Source organism: Homo sapiens, chromosome 12 (assembly GCF_000001405.40).
Source record: "Homo sapiens chromosome 12, GRCh38.p14 Primary Assembly".
NCBI classification, from domain to species: domain Eukaryota; kingdom Metazoa; phylum Chordata; class Mammalia; order Primates; family Hominidae; genus Homo; species Homo sapiens.
The window spans coordinates 132,595,634-132,615,812 of NC_000012.12; the positions used below are offsets into that span (position 1 = coordinate 132,595,634).

At 55.7% G+C, this 20,179-nt stretch overlaps 1 protein-coding gene and 1 long non-coding RNA gene across 10 annotated transcripts, besides 3 other annotated features; one reads left to right on the forward strand and one right to left on the reverse strand.

Moving 5' to 3' along the window:
* The first annotated feature begins 219 nt into the window (after positions 1–219).
* On the forward strand, positions 220–6,155 carry LOC105370094 (uncharacterized). Of its 3 annotated transcripts, XR_007063548.1 has the most exons (4): positions 220–341; positions 415–561; positions 745–846; positions 4,434–4,518. It is a non-coding gene; the product is annotated as an uncharacterized LOC105370094 (long non-coding RNA). The 3 variants fall into 3 exon arrangements; XR_007063547.1 differs by having other exon boundaries at positions 220–561; XR_001749425.2 differs by lacking the exon at positions 220–341 and adding an exon at positions 5,964–6,155 and having other exon boundaries at positions 552–846; positions 4,434–5,684.
* Positions 5,298–5,833: an enhancer, noted in NCBI's record as "H3K27ac-H3K4me1 hESC enhancer chr12:133177517-133178052 (GRCh37/hg19 assembly coordinates)". NCBI's record gives its function as "activates a minimal SCP1, AML or CMV promoter by ChIP-STARR-seq in naive H9 embryonic stem cells {active_cell/tissue: H9 hESC(naive)}" and the evidence as "EXISTENCE:reporter gene assay evidence [ECO:0000049][PMID:30033119]".
* Positions 5,834–6,368: an enhancer, noted in NCBI's record as "H3K4me1 hESC enhancer chr12:133178053-133178587 (GRCh37/hg19 assembly coordinates)". NCBI's record gives its function as "activates a minimal SCP1, AML or CMV promoter by ChIP-STARR-seq in naive H9 embryonic stem cells {active_cell/tissue: H9 hESC(naive)}" and the evidence as "EXISTENCE:reporter gene assay evidence [ECO:0000049][PMID:30033119]".
* LRCOL1 (leucine rich colipase like 1) lies at positions 7,518–14,949 on the reverse strand. 7 transcript variants are annotated; one of them, NM_001195520.2, is made up of 6 exons: positions 14,690–14,949; positions 10,514–10,631; positions 9,073–9,198; positions 8,829–8,951; positions 8,621–8,743; positions 7,518–7,771 (listed from the first exon to the last, which is right to left on the reverse strand). In NM_001195520.2, exons 2-6 carry the CDS (start codon positions 10,616–10,618, stop codon positions 7,769–7,771), a joined length of 480 nt encoding a protein of 159 aa, NP_001182449.1. In that variant the 5' UTR covers positions 10,619–10,631; positions 14,690–14,949; the 3' UTR covers positions 7,518–7,768. The 7 variants fall into 7 exon arrangements, with proteins under 7 accessions (NP_001182449.1, XP_011533082.1, XP_047284001.1 ...); XM_011534780.3 differs by having other exon boundaries at positions 7,518–8,743; XM_047428045.1 differs by lacking the exons at positions 9,073–9,198; positions 14,690–14,949 and adding exons at positions 9,227–9,385; positions 9,633–9,728 and having other exon boundaries at positions 7,518–8,743; positions 10,514–10,602.
* Positions 7,998–8,624: an enhancer, noted in NCBI's record as "H3K27ac-H3K4me1 hESC enhancer chr12:133180217-133180843 (GRCh37/hg19 assembly coordinates)". NCBI's record gives its function as "activates a minimal SCP1, AML or CMV promoter by ChIP-STARR-seq in naive H9 embryonic stem cells {active_cell/tissue: H9 hESC(naive)}" and the evidence as "EXISTENCE:reporter gene assay evidence [ECO:0000049][PMID:30033119]".

Sequence of the window (20,179 nt, forward strand, 5' to 3'; positions counted from 1 at the left end):
TCACCCCATGAACTCGACAATTAGCTTGTCAAATTGTGTTAAATTTTTTAGCTGTGACCTTTATGTTGGGATAGCACTGGATTTATAAGTGAATTTGGGGGAGAATCGATGTGGATCTGAAACACCACACAGCTCTCAGGGCTGATTCCGTTTCCTCTTTCGTCATCTGGTGAAGGTTTTGATTTTCCTCATCTAAGTCTCGGAGCTCCTGGTGAGTTTACTTCCAGGTGTTCAAGCTTTGACGACGGTGGTGAGTTGTCGCGGGCCACTGTGGCCCGGGTGACTGGACGTTTTCTGTTTGTATCTTGCTCCCTGGCTATGGCAGATGCTCCACTTGCCAGGTATACTCAGCTCCCCACACCGCGAGCACACGCAGGACTGTGCGTCCAGCCCTCATGGCTGTTCTGGTTACAGGCCCGTTGGGGAGCGTGCGCTGCCTTGGGCCCGGAGCACTCAGCGCTGGCATCATCCTCTCCAGAGCCTCTCGTGTTCTCTGACACAGCAGCCAGGAATGTTTCCAAGGGTGACATTACAAGGATATCTCCAGCAGCCTGGCTCTCGGTGAGGAAGATAGAGCAGGGCGCCCGAGGGGCACACGTTGGACGGCAAGGGCGTGTGGCTGTCCCAACCCTGGGAGCAGGGCTGCTCCTCAAGGCAGCATGGCCTCACCTGCCCTTGCTGACAGGCCGGCTGACCCCTCTGACGCCTTCCAGCAGCGTTTCCAGTGCTTTTCTTTCTTCCCAGGAAGATACTGGGCCAGCGCCATCAGGGGTGGCTCATCGGTCGTCGTGGTGGTCTCACGTGTCTCCTGTGCTTTTTGACGCCAGCTGGGACTTCCCGGTCACGGTGAGTAGGACGGGCAGCGGGCATGACTTTCCTTGCTCCTGTCTTTGGTGGGGACGTTCCTAATGCTTCCAGGAAAGTATGATGCTTGCTGTAGGTGTATGCGGAAGAGTTTAATATTCAATTACTAGATTTTCTTCAATGTTAGCTTTTGTTTTTGTTTTTGTTTTCTTTTTGACACGGAATCTCACTCTGTTGCCCAGGCTGGAGTGCAATGGTGCGATCTCAGCTCACTGCAACCTCCACCTCCTGGGTTCAAGCGATTCTCCTGCCTCAGCCTCCCAAGTAGCTGGGATTACAGGCGCCCACCACCACGCCCGTCTAATTTTTGTATTTTTAGTACAGACGGGGTTTTGCCATGTTGGCCAGGATGATCTCAAATTCCTGACCTCAGTTGATCCACCCGCCTCAGCCTCCCAAAGTGCTGGGATTACAGGCATGAGCCACTGCACCTAGTGATGTTAGCTTATTTTATTTATTTATTTATTTATTTTTTGAGATGAAGTCTTGTTCTACTGCCCAGGCTGAAGTGCAGTGGTGCAATCTCAGCTCACCACAACCTCCGCCTCCCGGGTTCAAGTGATTCTCCTTCCTCAGCCTTCCGAGTAGCTGGGACTACAAGCATGTACCACCATGCTTGGCTAATTTTTGTATTTTTAGTAGAGACGGGGTTTCACTATGTTGGCCAGGCTGGTCTCGAACTCCTGACCTCGTGATCTGCCTGTCTCGGCCTCCCAAAGTGCTGGGATTACAGGTGTGAGCCACTGCGCCTGGCCTGTTTATAATTTTTAAATCTTCCTTTTTTCTGTGGCTTTTTTACCTGTCACATTTCTAATGCTGATTGCTATTTCTTTTGTCAATTCAACGCTTGTCTACCTTGTTCTATTTGGTGAAAAACAAATTTGGGGTTTTCTCTTCTTCTCCCCCCACTCTCTCTGTCTCTCTCTTTGTGTCTCTGTCCTTGTATGTCTCTGTCTCTGTGTCTCTTTGTGTGTCTCTGTCTCTATGTCTCTTTGTGTGTCTCTGTCTCTGTCCTCTGTCTCTGCGTGTCTCTGTGTCTCTGTCTCTGTGTCTCTCCTCTGTCTCTGTGTATCTCTGTCTCCATGTGTCTGTCTCTGTGTCTCTCCTTCTCTCTGTGTCCCTGTGTCTCTCCTTGTCTCTGTGTGTCCCTGTCTCTGTGTCTCTTTGTCTCTGTCTCTCCTTCTGTCTCTGTGTATCTCTGTCTCTCTGTCTCTGTGTCTCTTCTGTCTCTGTCTCTCCATCTCTGTCTCTGTGTATCTCTGTCTCTGTCTTTGTGTGTCTCTGTCTCTCCTTCTCTGACTGTCTCTCCTTCTCTGTCTCTGCCTCTCCTTCTCTGTCTCTGTGTCTCTCCTTCTCTCTGTGTATCTCTCTGTGTCTCTGTCTCTGTGTCTCTCCTTCTCTGTCTCTGTCCATCCTGCCATCGCACCGTCTACTGAAGTGCTCACTACGCGCCCCGCCTCCTCTCCGCGCGCCCCTCCTCTCCGCGCGCCCCTCCTCCTCTCCGCTCGCCCCTCCTCTCCGCGCGCCCCTGCTCCTCTCCGCGCGCCCCGCCTCCTCTCCGCGCGCCCCTCCTCCTCTCCGCGCGCCCCTCCTCCTCTCCGCTCGCCCCTCCTCTCCGCGCGCCCCTCCTCCTCTCCGCTCGCCCCTCCTCTCCGCTCGCCCCTCCTCTCCGCCCGCCCCTCCTCCTCTCCGCGCGCCCCTCCTCCTCTCCGCTCGCCCCTCCTCTCCGCTCGCCCCTCCTCTCCGCGCGCCCCTGCTCCTCTCCGCGCGCCCCTGCTCCTCTCCGCGCGCCCCTCCTCCTCTCCGCGCGCCCCTCCTCTCCGCGCGCCCCTCCTCCTCTCCGCTCGCCCCTCCTCTCCGCGCGCCCCTCCTCTCCGCGCGCCCCTGCTCCTCTCCGCGCGCCCCTCCTCCTCTCCGCGCGCCCCTCCTCCTCTCCGCGCGCCCCTCCTCTCCGCGCGCCCCGCCTCCTCTCCGCGCGCCCCCTCCTCTCCGCGCGCCCCTCCTCCTCTCCGCGCGCCCCCTCCTCTCCGCGCGTCCCCTCCTCTCCGCGCGCCCCTGCTCCTCTCCGCGCGCCCCTCCTCTCCGCTCGCCCCTCCTCTCCGCTCGCCCCTCCTCTCCGCGCGCCCCTCCTCTCCGCTCGCCCCTCCTCTCCGCGCGCCCCTGCTCCTCTCCGCGCGCCCCTCCTCTCCACCCACAGTCAGGATGCAGGAGGTTTCCAAGTTTGCATCCTCACTGTTGCTCTTCCTGCTCTGAGAAACCCTCCTAGCGACCAGGCTGACTGGCCTCCTCTGCTGTGAGTGAGGGTCCTGGCCTCCTGGCGTCCCTACGGTGGCCACAGCCCTCACAGTCGCTTCCTCACCTGGGCCCAGACCGCGGGCTCTCGGGACCCTTCACGGCTGAACCTCCACTGGGCAGCTGTGCGGAGACCGAGTTTCCTCCTGCAATTGCAGACTTCCATCTCCCCCGGCAGACATTACACACCAGCAAGCGCCCGCCTTCCCCCACCGCGTTATTAAAGCCACAAAGCACTTTACACGTTCCCTGGAGCTGATGGCCCCTCCGGGGACTAGAGCACTGTGCGGGGGGGCTTCATCTTGAAAAAAAATGCAAAAATTAGCCGGGCGTAGTGGCCCGCGCCTGTAATCCCAGCTACTCGGGAGGCTGAGGCAGGAGAATCGCTTGAACACAGGAGGCAGAGGTTGCAGTGAGCCGAGATCGCGCCATTGCACTCCAGCCTGGGCAACAGAGCGAGACTCTGTCTCAAAAAAAAAAAAAAAAGAAAGAAAGAAAGAAAGAAAAAGAAAAAAGAAAAAACAACCGGAAAACCAAACCAACACAACTTGTTCTTTTTTTTTTTTTTTTTTTTTGAGATGGAGTCTCCTTCTGTCGCCCAGGCTGGAGTGCAGTGGCGTGATCTCGGCTCACTGCAACCTCTGCCTCCCGGGTTCACACCATTCTCCCACCTCAACCTCCTGAGTAGCTGGGACTACAGGCGCCCGCCACCATGCCCAGCTAATTTTGTTTTTGTATTTTTAGTAGAGATGGAGTTTCACTGTGTTAGCCAGGATGGTCTCCATCTCCTGACCTTGTGATCCGCCCACCTCGGCCTCCCAAAGTGTTGGGATTACAGACATGAGCCACCACGCCCGGCCCTTTCTTTTCAGACAAGTTCCTGCTCTGTTGCCCAGGCTGGAGGGCAGTGATGCAATCACAGCTCACTGCAGCCTCGACCTCCTGGACTCAAGTGATCCTCCTGCCTCAGCCTCCCTAGTAGCTGGGACCACAAGCATGCACCACCACACCCAGCTAAGTTTTGTATTTTTTGTAGAGATGGAATCTTGGTATGTTGCCAAAGGTGGTCTCAAACCCCTGGGCTCAAGCAGTCCTCCTACCTCAGCCTCCCGAAGTGCTGGGAGCCACACTTCTTCCAGATGCTTTCAAGTTTGATGGGTTATGTTTACCTATTCTGTTCTGTCTTTTAAAAATTATCATTTTGTTAGAACTTGAGGATGAGTGGTCAAAATAACAACGATCACGTTGCGGCGTATCTGGCTTGTTCTCACTGTTAGGGTGGAAGCAACGGTTTCTCAGGATTTCGCTACAAGGATCGTCTCAGCCTTCTTGGACTGCCGTGCGGAACACCACACACCCAGCAGCTAAAATAATGACATTGAGATCCGGGTGCCAGCAGGACAAGCTCCATGAGGGCCCCCCTCTGGGTTGCAGGCAGCTGCCTTCCCAGGGCGTCCTCCCCCGGCAGGTGGGCATGGCAGGGCAGGGGGAGCTGGCACGCTCGGCTCTGTTGTCTCTTTTTTCTCACAGTGCGTGACTGTTTACCACCATGGTCACCTGGAGCCTCTTATTACAAGGGCGTGAATTCCCTTCTCGTAAGGCCCCTCACGGCCTCATCAAAACCTCAGTCACCTCCCAGAACCCCACTCCAGTCCCGTCACGCTGAGGCTCAGGGCCTGAACCCATGAATGCGAGGACACGATCAGTCCACAGCAAGGCTGTGTCCCTGAGGAGCAGGGGCGGACCCTGGCCACACTCTGGCCAGGCAGCGGCCGGGAGAGGGGGCCCATGCGGAAGGAACAGCCAGGCAGAGGCCGGGAGAGGGCGCCCATGTGGAAGGAACGGACAGGCGCACTCAGAAGCGGTGGCGTCTGACGCCCTTTCACGATGTTGTTTCGTTTTGTAATTTTCTTAGACTTCCAAATTCATAGTGAAGTTGACCCAACATGACAACAAACAGGATTCGAGGGGTTTGGACAGATGGGGGGATCATCGGTATCCTGGGGCCGGCAGCCTCACACTGATAGATGGTTCTGGAACTGCCCACCGGCAGCCCCTCTGCCATGGGTGGGTGCAGCGGGGGCTTCCCGGTTCAGTGGCTCCCCTGGCCGCGTAGACCCAGAGGTGCTTCCCTCTAGCGCACAGTGCTGCTGGCCCCGCTGTGGGCCCCCGGCCTCAACCCAGAGAGCTTCTCCAAATCAGTGGCTGTGGCCCCACCGTCTCCCGAGCGCCAGGCAGGGAACCCCTTCTGCATCCACCCTGGGGGCTGCCTGCTGGGCTCACTTTGCTCCTCCTGGAACCAGCGCACAACCCCTCACCGTAGACGCCCCTGTCCCCATGTTGGTGTGGCGTCTGCCGCCAACTGACTCTGACAAACACACGGTTGATGTTTCTGTGAAGTTTGGGAAAATAAGATCTTTTCACTGTACTGGGTCAAGACCTGTCCCTACTCGGCACGGCCCCCGTGTGCTTCCGGTATCTCTGCGGGAGGAGGAGCGCCAAGCAGCCGGGAGCTACCTGTGGGGAAGGTGAGTTGAGGAAGCTTTTCCCTGGTGTTGCTGGGCTCACCCCCGTGGGAATGGGCCCCGCGCCATGGCTCACTTCCATGGGGACGGCCCCCATTCCCTGGGTCACCCCCGTGAGGACGGCCCCCGAGCCCTGGCTCGCCCCCGTGGGGTCGGTCCCCACTCCCTGGCTCACCCCCATGGGGTCGGCCCCCACTCCCTGGCTCACCCCCGTGGGGTCGGCCCCCGAGCCCTGGCTCACCTCTGTGGGGACAGCCTGCAAACCTCAGCTCACCCACATAGGGATGGCCCCCGTGCTGGGCTCACCCATCTGACATCAACATGAAGGTAGGAGCCTGATGGTGTCTCCGACGTGTCCTGCTGGCATTGGGCAATCCTGTTTGAAGATTCCGGATCTAGACACTGGGGTGTGGGACGGCTTCAGACAGGTAGAGGTATGCGTGGAAAATTCAGTTCTCAGCAGCTTCTAATCAGGATGGAGGTTTGTTTTGACTTCTTATGGGAATCGCGTGATGGAGGCTGTGTCTGTCGCCCACACACGCCCAGGGAGGTTCACACCTGAGCAACTTGTATCCACAGAAAACATCGCTCAGCCCCATCCGTGGGAAGACTAAGTTGATTTTCCATTCTCCCATAGAAAACGTTACCAAATTGCCGTTTTGTAAACGTGATCCAAGGCTGTGCAGTCAGGAACTTTAGGGTAAAAAACGTGCTGTGCGATTCTGTGTGTGACGCCGCCTGTGTGAGCCTCCGATTCTGTGTGTGACGCCGCCTGTGTGAGCCTCCGATTCTGTGTGTGACGCCGCCTGTGTGAGCCTCCGATTCTGTGTGTGACGCCGCCTGTGTGAGCCTCCGATTCTGTGTGTGACGCCGCCTGTGTGAGCCTCTGATTCTGTGTGTGACGCCGCCTGTGTGAGCCTCCGATTCTGTGTGTGACGCCGCCTGTGTGAGCCTCCGATTCTGTGTGTGATGCTGCCTATGTGAGCTTCCTACACTCATGGTGTGCTGGGTCTTTCACCGTAAGTATGTTCAGTTTTAGGCCTAACACTGTGTTCATAATGTCATATGACTTTTCTTAAGGAAGTCGCCAAAACTATGTAACTTCAGGCTGTGCAGAGTTGACCGCGGCCAGGTGTTCCTGCCCCTGCAGGTCTCTCCTGGGGGAGCCTCAGATGGTCCGGCAGTCACAGAGATGGAAATCGTTTATGATTAGTTAGGAAAGGAAGACCCACGTGCCAGGGAAGGACTCGGGAACAAGACAAAAACAAATACACAGCAGCCCAGGCTGAAAACGGCAGGGATGGGGTGGGCTGGGGATGGAGGCATTTCCGGGAAGGTCAGGCAGATGGAATCAGAAACCGAACGAGGCAGAGAGACCCGCCCCCAGCCGCGCAGAGCCCAGTGCTGCCCTGGGGAGTCAGCGGCCAGAAGAGTTCTCGGCCTGAACCAGGGATCCTCCGAGGGGAGGGGAGGTGACCATGGAAGCTCAGCCAGGGCCTGGGGAAGGGGAAGGGGCCTGGGCTTGCGTCCCGGACGCGGGTGCCTATGTGCTGAGGACTGCCCGTGCCAGGGACAGGGAGGGAGCGATTTTTACCTGCGGTGACCACACGGGCTTGCACCCCTTTATTTGACGCCCCTGCAGTGTGGGGAGGTGACAGCAAACCCGATACTCTGGCCCTGGCCTCGCCTCCCACAGCATGGCCTGTGCCTCCCCAGGCTTCCCAGAAGGCCGCTCTGGCACGGACCCAGCCGACGCCACCTCTCTGTGACCTCCAGGTTTCCTTCAGATTTTATGCTTTTATTATTCAAAACACAGAAGGGGTGAGACACGGCTGCTCAGTCGGCCAGGAGCCTTTATTGATGTTTAACAATCAGGCTACACCCCAGTGCCTGGGATTTGTTCTCACAGACACTTCGCGCCACCAGGCTGGTCACAGCCTTTCAGTTCCCACAGATTTTCAGAGCCCCAGAAACAGCAGCACAAACCGTAAGGGAAGCTTCCGCTGGAACCAGCCCCCGCGCAACGCGGTCCTGCGTGAACATCCCAGGGCCCAGGCCGGTCCCTCGCGCCCAGGTTCGAGCTCACATCACTGAAGGAGAAGCCAAAGCTGAGGAAACGTGCAGGGGACGGGCCTCGAAGCGGCCGCGGAAGGAGGACGGGAACCCGGGGCCACAGCATCTCCCGGCACCAGCCTCGTGGGGGTCGGGACAGCACCCAGAGGCCGACGCCCACGCTCAGCTCGCGAGAGGGACGCCCACGAGCCGCGCCAGGCGCCCGGAGCTGCTCCCAGCGCCCACGAGGGCGCCTGGTGGTACCCGAGGGCGCCTGGTGGTACCCGAGGGCTGTGAACAAACCTCACCTCTGGGTGCCACGACCCTTTCACCCCAGACGGGAGCTCTGGGCTCCAGCAAACACGCACTTGCGCCCCCACCGCGTTTGCGCCGCTGGCGACCTGGCCCCCTCCCCTGGCCCCAGGGCTCAGCAGAGCGGGAGCCTGCACCGAGCACGGCTTGTCCCATGGATTTCCCGTCAGGAAAAGCCACAGCAGAGGTCGGGGGAGGGAGGGGAGAAGCCAGGACCCTCCTCCTCCAGGGCTGGTGAGGCTGTTCCCTCTCCGGCCTGAAGACGTCCAACCCCAGCTCCCACGGGGGATGGTCCTGGGTCCCCCTCCCCGCGGCTCCGCAGGCTCTGACGGTCTCTGACCGGGCACCCGTGCCCTGCGGGGCCTGGTGGGCTCAGTGCCAGCCCAGGAGCCTTCTCTGCGGCCCCCACCTTATGAGATGGGCGGTGAAGCGCCGGCCTCTCCCAGCAGGGGTGCCTGGGTGCTCAGAGCCCACCTCTCACAGCCGCGGTCCCGGTCCAGTTGCTGTGTTTCTGTGCGACTTCCCTGTGGCGGCCAAGGGAGGGCCTGGAGGCTGAGCCCCCGCCCGGGACTTACCAGGGGCAGGCACTGGGCCAGGATCCCGGTCCGGGGAATGCAGCGGAAGGGGCTGTACTCCCTCAGCTGGATGCAGCACTGGCTGTGACACTCCTGATGGCTGCTGCAGAAGTCGCCGTTGGGCTGGGGAGGCAGCCAGGCAGCAGTCGTGGAGAGGGGCTGTCTCCGGCTACCCCTGCTCCATCTGCCCCGGGTGCCCGCAGCTCACCTTGCGCCAGGGCACACACTGCAGGAAGACGCTTTGGGGCGTGCACAACTCCTGCGGGCTGTTGTTGCGGACGCAGCAGCTGCTCTGGCACTCTGAGTCGTGCGAGCATCTGTACCCATTGGGCTATGGGACAGGAGACGCGTCATCCCTGCACCCACCATCCACTCCCTGGCTCTTCAGGGGCAGGTAGGAGGGGGCCACAGGCAGTCTCGCTCCTCCACCCCCGCCCCTGCACGCACCTCACCTTCCTCCAGGGCAGGCACTGCAGGAAGATGGTCTTAGGGGTGCAGAGCGTGTGTGGGGCCAGGCTGTTGATGGTACAGCAGTTGCTCTGGCACTCCTCGTGTCTCCTGCATGGCTCCCCGATGCCCTGAAACACCACTCACCAGCTCGCTCACCTGTTCCTGGGCAGGGCCTGCAGACTCAGCACTCAGGAAAGGCCTGCCCTCTCCTTGGCTCCCCTGTGTCACCATCCTTCAAACTTGGGTTTCCTGAGAAGTTTCTGGAACAAACCCAGACTGCCGTGGTTCTGGCAGGTCAGTGCTGGGGGCCCGGGGCTGAGAAAGGGAATGTCTACTGTGAGCCACGTGGAAGAGGGTAAACCAAGGCACTGAGGGCAAGGATGCAGCAGCAGAGCATGGGTGAAGCTCTCAGGCCAGCCCAGTGCCTGGCATTTTACAGGAGAAGAAACAGGCTCAGGGAAGGCGAGCAAGGTGCCCAGGATTGCACAGCTGGCAGAGGTGAGCTGAGAGCCAGGCCTCCCCCCTGCACCACGGCTTGTAGCCACCCCCCACCCACACACACGCAAGGTGCTGCTGTGTGCGCGACCTCTGGTCTTGTTTGCTCAGAGTGTTGTGGATGAGGCTATGTCTATTGACGTTACTGGATTCCACCCTAAAACTGAGAGAATTTTAAGATAAAAACAGTAATCCCATTGCATGTTAACATAAATAACAACTTTTTATTAAAAGTGGGTATATTTTCTGGCCAGGCGCAGTGGCTCATGCCTGTAATCCCAGCACTTTGGGAGGGTGAGGCCGGTGGATCACCTGAGGTCAGGAGTTTGAGAACAGCCTCGTCAACATGGTGAAACCCCATCTCTACCAAAAATGCAAAATTTAGCCAGGCGTGGTGGCGCGCGCCTGTAATCCCAGCTACTCGGGAGGCAGAGGCAGGAGAATCGCCTGAACCCAGAAGGTGAAGGTTGCAGTGAGCTGAGATCGTGCCACTGCACTCCAGCCTGGGCGACAGAGCGAGGCTTCATCTCTCTCTCTCTCTCTCTCTTACACACACACGCACACAATTTAAAAAGTAATAAAATAAAAAAGAAAAATGGGTATATTTTCAAAAACAGAAGTGCACACTGGTGCAGCTCCCATGTGGCCCCGCTCTCTCCTGCCTGGTTGACGGTGGCCGTGGTGGCCCCAGGGCTGCTCCTGGTGCTGGGGTCGCCGTCCCATAGCCTCAAGTGTGCTTGGGCAGCACAGCCGGGCGTGTGGCCAGGAGAGCGAGTGCAGCCTCAGGGAGGGTTTCATCCAGGAAGGCGCTTTGTGTCCCTTTGAGACCCTCCTGACGGAAAGTGGCAGCCCTCGCGGGTGGGGACTGCAAGGGCCTCAGGGGCGCCCGGCACCCACCTTATGGCGCGTGTGGGGCCTGCAGGGGCATCAGGGGTGCCCGGCACCCACCTTATGGGACAGGTTCAACTTCTTCTGTGGCCCATACCCTGCCATGGACCCCAGCAGCAGCAGCAGCAGCAGCAGTAGCAGCAGCGTCCACCCCGGGCCGGCCATCGGGTGTGTGGACCTGCAGAGACCCAGGATTGTGTGGGAGTGTGTCCACGCCAGCCTTGTCCTGCCTGGCACCTGGTGCTGGCCTCCCCACTCCCTTCCCATCCCTTCCCGATCCTTTCTCTTGCAAGACAGACTTTTAAAAACTTAATGGACTTTATTTTCTAAAGCAGTTTTATGCTTACAAAAAAAGTGCAGAAAATATAATTCTCATATGCCACCTTCTTTCCCCTGCCTCAGTTTCCCCTATTATAAACATGCTGCACTCGTGTGACACATCTGTCCACCATTGATAGACCCACAGGGACGTGCCATCATCACCCGGAGTCCACAGCTCAGCCGGTGTGTGCCTGCTGCGGGTTTGGGTGAGTGCGTTCTCATAACTGCCATTTCAGTATCCTGCAAAGCCGATCCGATGCCCTAAACATCCCCGTGCCCCGTCTATTCGCTCCTCCCTCCCCAGCTGCTGACAGCCACCGAGCTTTTCACTGTCAGCTTGGTTTTGCCTTCTCCAGAATCCCGTTTGGTTGGAATCGGTCTGTAGCCTTTTCGGGTTGGCTTATTTCACTAAGTGCCATTTAAGGTTCCTCTGTGGCTTTTCGTGGCATAATGACTCATTTCTTTTTAGCACTGCATGGAAAATGGATTTTTTTTAACACATCGAGGCAAAACGTGAAAAATGGATTTTGAAGAAGACTTTTCCCAGCGGACAGTGGTTCCCCTGATGAATTTGAACGTGAGCACCTGCTGTGAGCGGGAGCGGGGGCCTCAGCCTGGGGTCCCTCCTGGAGGGGCCCTTGCTGCCCAGCCCCGCAGCAGTGCGGGCATCAGATGAAGCAGCGGCATTGCCCTGCGTGTGGTCAGCGGCCAAGCTATGCTCATTGTGAGCCCCATGCCCGGACGGCGCTGCCCCCACCACAGCGACCGGCCCAGTACAGGGTGGATGACAGGAACCCTTCCTCGGGACTCTTCCAGCCGGGCCCAGGCGGAGACGTCATTAGGAGGGTCTCTCTTTTCCTCCTGGGTTCCAAAGCCATACGGGAAAACCCAGTAGACTCCACAATTCATGAAAACTGACAGGAGAGGCCAGACCAAGATCAACACAAAATTCAAAACGATTTCTCCACACTGGCCATAAATAACCAGAAAATAGAAAATGAACACCATGCACGATAACAAGATAAACCATTCGTTATGTAAGATGAAGGGCGAATATGAAGTCCACACAAAGAAAGTCCACCCTTGGCCTCCCCCTCGGCTCCCTCACCCCGTGCTGTGAGACCACATATCACTCAGGGCTGCGCTAGGGCCAGGGGGCTGGGCAGGGTCTCCCTGTCTCTCTGTCTCTGCCTCTGTCTCTCCCTGTCTCTCTGTCTCTCCCTCTGTCTCCCTCTCTCTGTCTCTTTCTGTCTCTGTCTCTTTCTGTCTCTGTCTCTCTCTGCCTCTCTGTCTCTGTCTCTCCCTCTGTCTCTGTCTCTCTGTCTCTCCCTCTCTCCGTCTCTGTCTCTCTCTGTCTCTCCCTCTCTTTCTCTGCCTCTCCCTCTCTCTGTCTCTGTCTCCCTCTCTCTGTCTCTTTCTGTCTCTGTCTCTTTCTGTCTCTGTCTCTCTCTGCCTCTCTGTCTCTGTCTCTCCCTCTGTCTCTGTCTCTCTGTCTCTCCCTCTCTCCGTCTGTCTCTCTCTGTCTCTCCCTCTCTTTCTCTGCCTCTCCCTCTCTCTGTCTCTTTCTGTCTCCCTGTCTCTGTCTCTCTCTGTCTCTGTCTCTCTCTGTCTCTGTCTCTCTCTGTCTCTGTCTCTTGAATCCCCTTGATTATTATTTTTCTTAAATTCCTCATGTTATCTCGCGTGCACTCAGGGGAAAGGTGGAGCTCTGGCCACAACCTATAGCCACCTGCTGGGGAAGCCGCAGCAGATCAGGACTCAGTCAGTGACCCCACTCCACACTCAAGACCAGCCAGAGGAACCCAAATATGGATGCCCACCTCCCCCATGCCCATCGCAGGGGCAGCTGAGCCCCGGCAGTGGCCTCCCCACGTGATCAGTCCCCGCACCCACACCTCTGCCTGCGGCTGGGCAGCCTCCCCGCTCCCAGCACTCCCTCCTGTCTTTCCTGCCACTGCGTGAGCACCACGAGGTCAGGAACTGATTTTACCTCCCTCACAGGAAGTCAAAGGTCAAAGGTCTTAGATGCCCCTGGCACCTGATCCTGGAGCCCTGACCCCAGACAAATGAGTCATGTCGACACTTTCCAAGATGAATGGCCACATCCCCAGCCATCAGGCAAACTTAGTAAGCCCTGTTTCCAATCATATCAAGCCTGTTCAATATAACTTTGTTTAGAGATGGGGCCTTGCTCTGTTGCCCAGGCTGGAGTGCAGTGGCACAATCGCAGCTCACTGCAGACTCAACCTCCTGGGCTCAGGTGATCCTCCCAGCTCAGCCTCCCGAGTAGCTGGAATGAGAGGTGTGAGCCACTGTGCCCGTCTTAAATATAATTTTTAATGTAACTACATAAAAGCTAAATTGAATCACAACTAGAACTTTTCTAAATTTCAAGCTTGCAGTATCTTTCCTGTACTTGGAACCAGGAAAAATTTTTTTCTGGTCTCAAACCTTTTCGTAGGTCCTTGCAAAGTTCACAGGCTTCGTTTCCAAATGGAGCACGATGTGCCTGACAGATCAAAGGGCCCTGCTCAGCCCAGGAACAGGCAGCTGCCTGTGCTGGGAAAGTCCGGTGTCTAACAGGTCACAGGTCACACCGTTCACAGCAGCGTTTTTCACGACGGCCAGAGGGTGGACGAATGTGTTACATGACCCCTGCCCCGAATGTGATATGTACGCACAATGGGACGTCAGTGGTCCCAGAAATGGAAGGCACCTCGGACCCAGGGGCCACACAGCCACCCTGAGGACCTGATGCTGAGGGAACGAGCCCCTCTCAGAAGCTCAAATACCGTTTGATCCCACGTGTGAGGTCTCCAGAGTCGTCAAACCTACAGAGACAGACAGTACGATGGTGGTGCCCAGGGCAGGTGGGGGTTGGTGTTTGATGGGGCCGGTTGACATTTGGGAAGATGTAAAGCTCTGCAGGTGGATGGCAGTGATGGCTGCACGGCAACGTGAATGTGCTTCATGCCACTGACCTGTGCACTTAAAAATCATTAAGACGGCCCGGGCATGGGGTGGCTCACGCCTGTAATCCCAGCACTTTGGGAGGCCAAGGTGGGCGATTACCTGAGGTCGGGAGTTCAAAACCAGCCTGACCAACATGGTGAAACCCTGTCTCTACTAAAAATACAAAATTAGCTGGGTGTGGTGGTGCATCCCGGTAGTCCCAGCTACTTAGGAGGCTGAGGCAGGAGAATCGCTTGAACCCTGGAGGCAAAGGTTGCAGTGAGCCGAGATCACACCACTACATTCCAGCCTGGGCAACAGAGTGAGACTCCATCTCAAAAAAAAATTGTTAAAATGGTCAACTTTATGTTAAAGGTATTTTACCACAATAAAAGCAAAGGTCACAGGCAGACCTCATGAGTGCCCTGGAGGTGCTGTTGCCCCTGGGATGGAAGCTCATTATTTTCAAATGTTCTATATATGGGGGTCTCTATTCCGGGACATTTGCTTAAAAATCTCTTGGATCAGACCCTTCTTCAGTTTTTCCTGCAATTATCAATATCTAGTTTGTTTCTATAGTAGTTCAATCAGCTAAGTAAAAAGCTCGATGCTAAATCTTGTCAAAGACATTGCAAATCTCCATAGATCGTCTGCGAAACCACAGCTTTCATGTTTTGAGCGTAAGACCCTGGGGCTGGTGCTGTAACCCCTGCCCAGACTCTTCTGAGTTTCGGCGGCCCAGCAGGGCAGGGCCGGGCACCTGGCAGGTGGGGTCATCCCCACAGGGCACCCCGGCCGAGGGCAGAGCTGGTTCCGCCGCAGGGTCGATCCTGGGCTCTGGGCTGTGCACACGTCCTATTGACACCCCGAGGACAGGACGTGCGAGTGACTCGTGAGATTGGGCCTCCCTTGCTGAAAACTTCCCTGGTGGCTGACAGCTGCGTGGACATTCAGCGGCCCTACCTTTTTCCGTCAGGCGCCAGCAGCCCCTCTGTGTAGAGGTGAGACAGGCCAAGCTGCAGCTTCTAGACGAGACGCCCGAAAGCAGAGAAGTACCCAGAGCAGGGACCCGGCAGCCCGGCAGTACGCTGGGCACAGTCGCAGCCCCGCCTCTTCCTTCTCCGTCTTGTTCCCTCCTTCGGTCCCAGGAGAAAGACGCTCATCTCCCCACATGAGAGGCTCAGTGTAGGCGTCTGGACAGGGGCCAGTCCCACAAGGCTACTGACTCCGGACCACAAAGAAGCTGGAAGCAGCAGCTCCGCCTCTGCAGCCAATTGCAGAGCTTTTTTCTCTGTGTTCTGCCCCCACTTCCAACTCAGGACCAACCAGAGGACGCCAAACACGTCCTATCACCAACCACCGGACACCTGACTCTCCATCAGCCGCCCCTGCCTTCCCCACAGCATCCCCACCACCCTAAGCGGAGGGACCTGTGCCCCTCCCCCTGCCTGCTGATCTCAGGGTGGGGCGCTCCCAAGCTCCGAACTCAGAGCCTGGGCTTGCTGTCGTCTGGGTGGTCTTTCTTTATCTCCACATGCATCTGCTTATGCAGTACACACGTATGGGCTGTTTGCTCGTTATTTATTTGTGATCGACCATGTGCCAGGCGCCGCGGCAGGCTCAGCGGGGGAGCAGGCTGTGCCCCGGTGTCAACTTGGTGCTCTCAGTCCAGTGCAAGAGCTGGGCCTGGCAACGAACACACTGCGCAGAGAGTGGTGGGCGTCGTTAGGGGCACGACGGAGGTGCCAGGGGGACACCGCACAGCAGGGATGCCAGGGAGACTTCACAGAGACACCTGCAGGACACCTGCTGCCAGGAGCACGGCCCAGTGGGGATGGGAGAGCGAGGAGAGCGCCGGGCACGGGGAGGAGGGGCGGGGCACGGCCCAGTGTCTGGGGAGCTGAGGCGGGGAGGGTGGGGAGGCCAGGGACAGCCCAGGGGGACACTAGAGAGGGCGGGGAGGAGCCAGCCCTGGAGCTCGAGTGCCAGTCATGCTGCCCTTTTGAACGCCGAGACCATTAAAGGGGTCTCGGGTGAGAACCACAGGCAGGATGTGGAAGCTCCTGGGTGCATGGTGGCCTCTGTAATGGGCAGGGCGAGGCTGGAAGCAAGAGGACCCATGCGATAGCATGCATGCCCGGCCAGAGGGGATAGGAGGCTCAGTCAGGCAGGGCTGGGGGAACAAGGAGCAGAGAGAGAGGCAGGGAAGAGCAGTGGGGACGCTGAGGGGTGTGAATGTGGGGAGTCAGGGTGGGAATTCAGAGTGAGCCCTGGCCTCTGGCAACAGGAACGAGGAGCACATGTACCCAGTCTAATGCAGCACCTGCACTGTCGACCACCAGAAAACAAAGCACCCAAAACTCAGTTAGCCCAAAAACATGACTTGTGATGGTCGCTGTGTCTGTGGGTTGACTGTGCTCAGCTGGGCGGTTCTCACACGTGTTGCTTAGGCATCAGCTTTCAGGTAGTTTGACTGTGCTCAGCTGGGCGGTTCTCACACGTGTTGCTTAGGCATCAGCTTTCAGGTAGCAGCTAGGCTGCCGACAATTATCTGAAGACTCAACAGGGCTGTGTCCAAGATGGCTCCTTCACTCCTGCATCTGGTAGCTGGAGGGACTGATGGGCTGGGAGCCCATCAACTCTTCTCCTCTTCACGCGGCCCCCATGAGGCTCGCAGAGGCTTCCTCACAACATGACGGCCCCAGGGTGGCTAGCACCTTCCCCAGAGCAAGAGCCCCAGGAGGATCTGCAAGGCTTCTTCTGACCTACCCAGAGGTCACACAACATCACCTCAACCACATTCTATTGGCCAAAAGTGAGTCCCAGAGACAGCTCAGGGACTACACACTTCCTCACCCAGTGGAAGCGTGTAGGGCAGGAGGCAAGGGGAGGCAGGGCGGGATGGGGAGGGGAGGGGAGCAAGCTTTTTGGAGTGATGAAAGTATCCTAAATTTACATCATGGTGGAGTTTGCACAATCTTGTAATTATACTAATAACAATGAAGGTACACTTTAAATGGGTGAATTGTATAATATGTGACTTATATCTCAGAAATGTTATAAACTTTTTTGAGAGAGAAGGCTTTAAACAAATAAAAATAAATCTGTTAGTGTATAGAAAATGTCCAGAACAGGCAAATCCATAGATACAGAAAGTAGATTAGTGGGAAACAACCTAAATGCCCGTTGATGGATGAATGATGGATAAAGTGTGGTGTGTCCAGGCAACATAATACTGTTCAGCCTTAAAAAAGAAGAAACTGCTGCCATATGCTACAACATGGGTGTCCCTTGAGGGCAGTATGCAGTGAGACAGGCCAGGCACAGAAACACAAATGCTACATGATTCCACTTGCCTGAAGAATCTAAAATAATTAAACTTGGCCAGGCGTGGCGGCTCACACCTGTCATTCCAGCACTTTGGGAGGCTGGGGAGGGTGGATTGCTTGAGTCCAGGAGTTCAAGACATGGGAAACCCTGTCTCTACAAAACATACAAAAATAAGAAATTAGCTGGGTGTGGTGGTGCATGCCTGTATTCCCAGCCACTCAGGAAGCTGAGATGGGAGGATTGCCTGAATCCAGGAAGCGGAGGTTGCAGTGAGCAAAGATGGTACCATTGTACTCTAGTCTAGGTGACAGAGTGAGACCCTGTCTCAAAAAAAAAAAAAAAGAAAGAAAATATAACTGATTTTTGTATGTTTATGTTGTATCCTGAAACCTCTCTGAACTTAATAGCTCTAACAGTTTCCAGTGGATTCCTTAGGGTTTCCCTTATACAATATCATACCATCTGCATATAGAGATGATCTTTCTTCTTTTGCAGTTTTTCTCAATTTATTACCTACTTGTCATAACTAGAATTTCAGCATAATATTGAATAGAAGTGGCAAGAGAGGACACTTTTGTCTTACTCTTGAGTGCAGGGGAAAAGCAATTATTCTCTTCACCATTCAAAACTATGTCAACCAGGTCAGGTGGGGTGGCTCAAACCTGTAATCCCAGCAGGGGCCAAGAGCCCTCTTTTAAGAGCCTTTAAGAAAGACCATGCTGGCTGGGTGCTGTGGCTCAGGCCTGTAATCCCAGCACTTTGGGAGGCCGAAGGGGGTGGATCACCTGAGGTCTGGAGTTTGAGACCAGCCTGACCAACATGGAGAAACCCTGTCTCTACTAAAAATACAAAATTAGCCAGGCATAGTGGTGCATGCCTGTAATCCCAGCTACTCGGGGGGCTGAGGCAGGAGAATAGCTTGAACCTGGGAGGTGCAGGTTGCGGTGGGCCGAGATCACACCATTTTACTCCACCCTGGGCAACAAGAGAGAAACTCTGTCTCAAAAAAAAAAAATTATGTCAACCGGGCACAGTGGCTCACACCTGTAATCCCAGCACTTTGGGAGAGCAAGGTGGGAGGATCGCTTGAGCCCAGGAGTTCGAGACCAGCGTGGGTAACATAGGGAGACCCCATCTCTACCAAAAAATAAATAAAAAATTAGCCAGGCATGGTGTCTTACACCTGGAGTCTCAGCTACTCAGGAGGCTGAGGCAAGAGTATCGCTTGAACCCAGGAGGTGGAGGTTGCAGTGAGCCAAGATCGTACCACCACACTCCAGCCTGGGTGACAGAGTCAAATACTATCTCAAAAAAAAAAAAAGAATTATGTTGTCACTTGAGCACAGTGGCTCGTGCCTATAATTCCAGAACTTTTGGAGGCCAAGGCAAGATCAGTTGAGCCCAGGAGTTCGAGACCAGGCTGATGGGTAACCCAGTGAGACCCTGTCTCTACAGAAAATGGAAAAAGTAGCCTAGCGTGGTGGCACGTGCCTGTGGTCCCAACTACTCAGGAGGCTGAGGTGGGAGGGTCACTTGAGCCCGGAGGTCAAGGCTGCAGTGAGCTAGGATTGCACCACTGCACTCCAGCCTGGGCAACAGAGTGAGATCCTATCTCAAAAAAAATTATGAAAAAAAATTATGTTGTCAAACTCATAGAAGTGGAGAGTAGAATGGTGGTTGCCAGAGGCTGCAGAGAGGGTAAAAGGGAATTGCTCCTGAACAGGGATAAAGTTTCAGTTTCAGTTATGCAAAATGAGTATGTTCCAGGTCTGCTATACAACATCACACCTGTAGTTAACAATACTGTATTGTTCAATTAAAATGTTGTTAAAAGGGTGGGTCTCATGTTAAATGTTTTATTACAATAAAAAATAATTTTTAGGAAGAAAGTTGTTAACTGGGTTTTTGTTTGTTTGTTTGTTGTTTTGCAGATATCCTTTAACAGACCTAAAGCTGTGTGATTTCTAGTAATCCACCTTTCAGAGCGTGACTTCCACCCGTCTAAATCCCTGGGAGTGAACTCATGGAGTTCTGGGGGGAAAAAAAATCCTGGGAGGTCGGGTTGGCCACAAAGCCCAAGATGTTCCCCAATTTACTAATTAGGTTAGAATTCCACACAACCAGCACCTCACCACCACCAAGAATTCTAATGGAAACTTTCTTCAGTGAAAACTAACTTCATTTATTTCAAGGCTGGTGCTAATTTTGGTTGTTGACTGCTTTGGCCTCCGATTATGGGAGGTATCCTGGGTGGGAACTGTCAGGGGAAGCTACTTGGAAGGCAGGACTGAGCCGGACCAAATTGCAAGATTCAAACCAGTGAGGAGGCCCAACAGCGGATTCTCCACAGACCCAGCAGAAGCTCTCGGGGGCTGGAAAAGGGCGCCACCTGGTGGCATCTGAGCAGAAGTCAGTGACACGTTTTCACCCACATGTCAGTACAGCTCCCGAAGCAGGTCCAGCGGAAAAGCTCCGGTATGAAGCTTTTCCCTTTACAGTGTGCTGTGAGGGTGTGTAACCACAGTTAATGGAAAGGGACCTCACTGGACTCAATCCAGTGACATCACACATGCCGTGTCTCCCACCCACAGAGAGAACTCCCAGGTCTTGAGTATGTGATGCCTGGAGCCTCATCTACCTTCTGAAGGCATCGTTCAGGCACGCTTTACATATGAGCAGTGTTTGGATTATTAATTGGAAAGGTCAGAACACCGTTTCAGCGGGTATATGAAAGTGATAGCAGCGGTGTCTGGAACATAAAGGAGAGTGTGTTTGTCCACTCTTCCTAGGGACACAGGGACGGGGACACTCCCCACTCTCCCCTGGGACACGGGAATGCTCTCCACTCTCCCCTGGGACACAGGGACGGGAACACTCTTCCCTGGGACACATGGGGACGCTCCCCACTCTCCCCCGGGACACAGGGGGACACTGTCCACTCTCCCCTGGGACACACGGGGACACTGTCCATTCTCTCCCGGGACACACGGGGACGCTCTCCACTCTTCCCTGGGACACACGGGGATACTCTCCCCTGGGACATATGGGCTGTCCACTCTCCCCCGGGACACACGGGGACGCTCTCTAGTCTTCCCTGGGACACACGAGGACTCTCTCCACTCT

Coding starts and splice junctions, on each gene's coding strand:
- LRCOL1 (XM_011534780.3), bottom strand. CDS start 10,618: ATGGCCGGCCCGGGGTGGACGCTGCTGCTACTGCTGCTGCTGCTGCTG. Junction 9,199..10,513: donor AGTTGAACCTGTCCCATAAG/GTGGGTGCCGGG, acceptor GTGGTGTTTCAG/GGCATCGGGGAGCCATGCAG. Junction 8,952..9,072: donor AGTGCCTGCCCTGGAGGAAG/GTGAGGTGCGTG, acceptor CCTGTCCCATAG/CCCAATGGGTACAGATGCTC.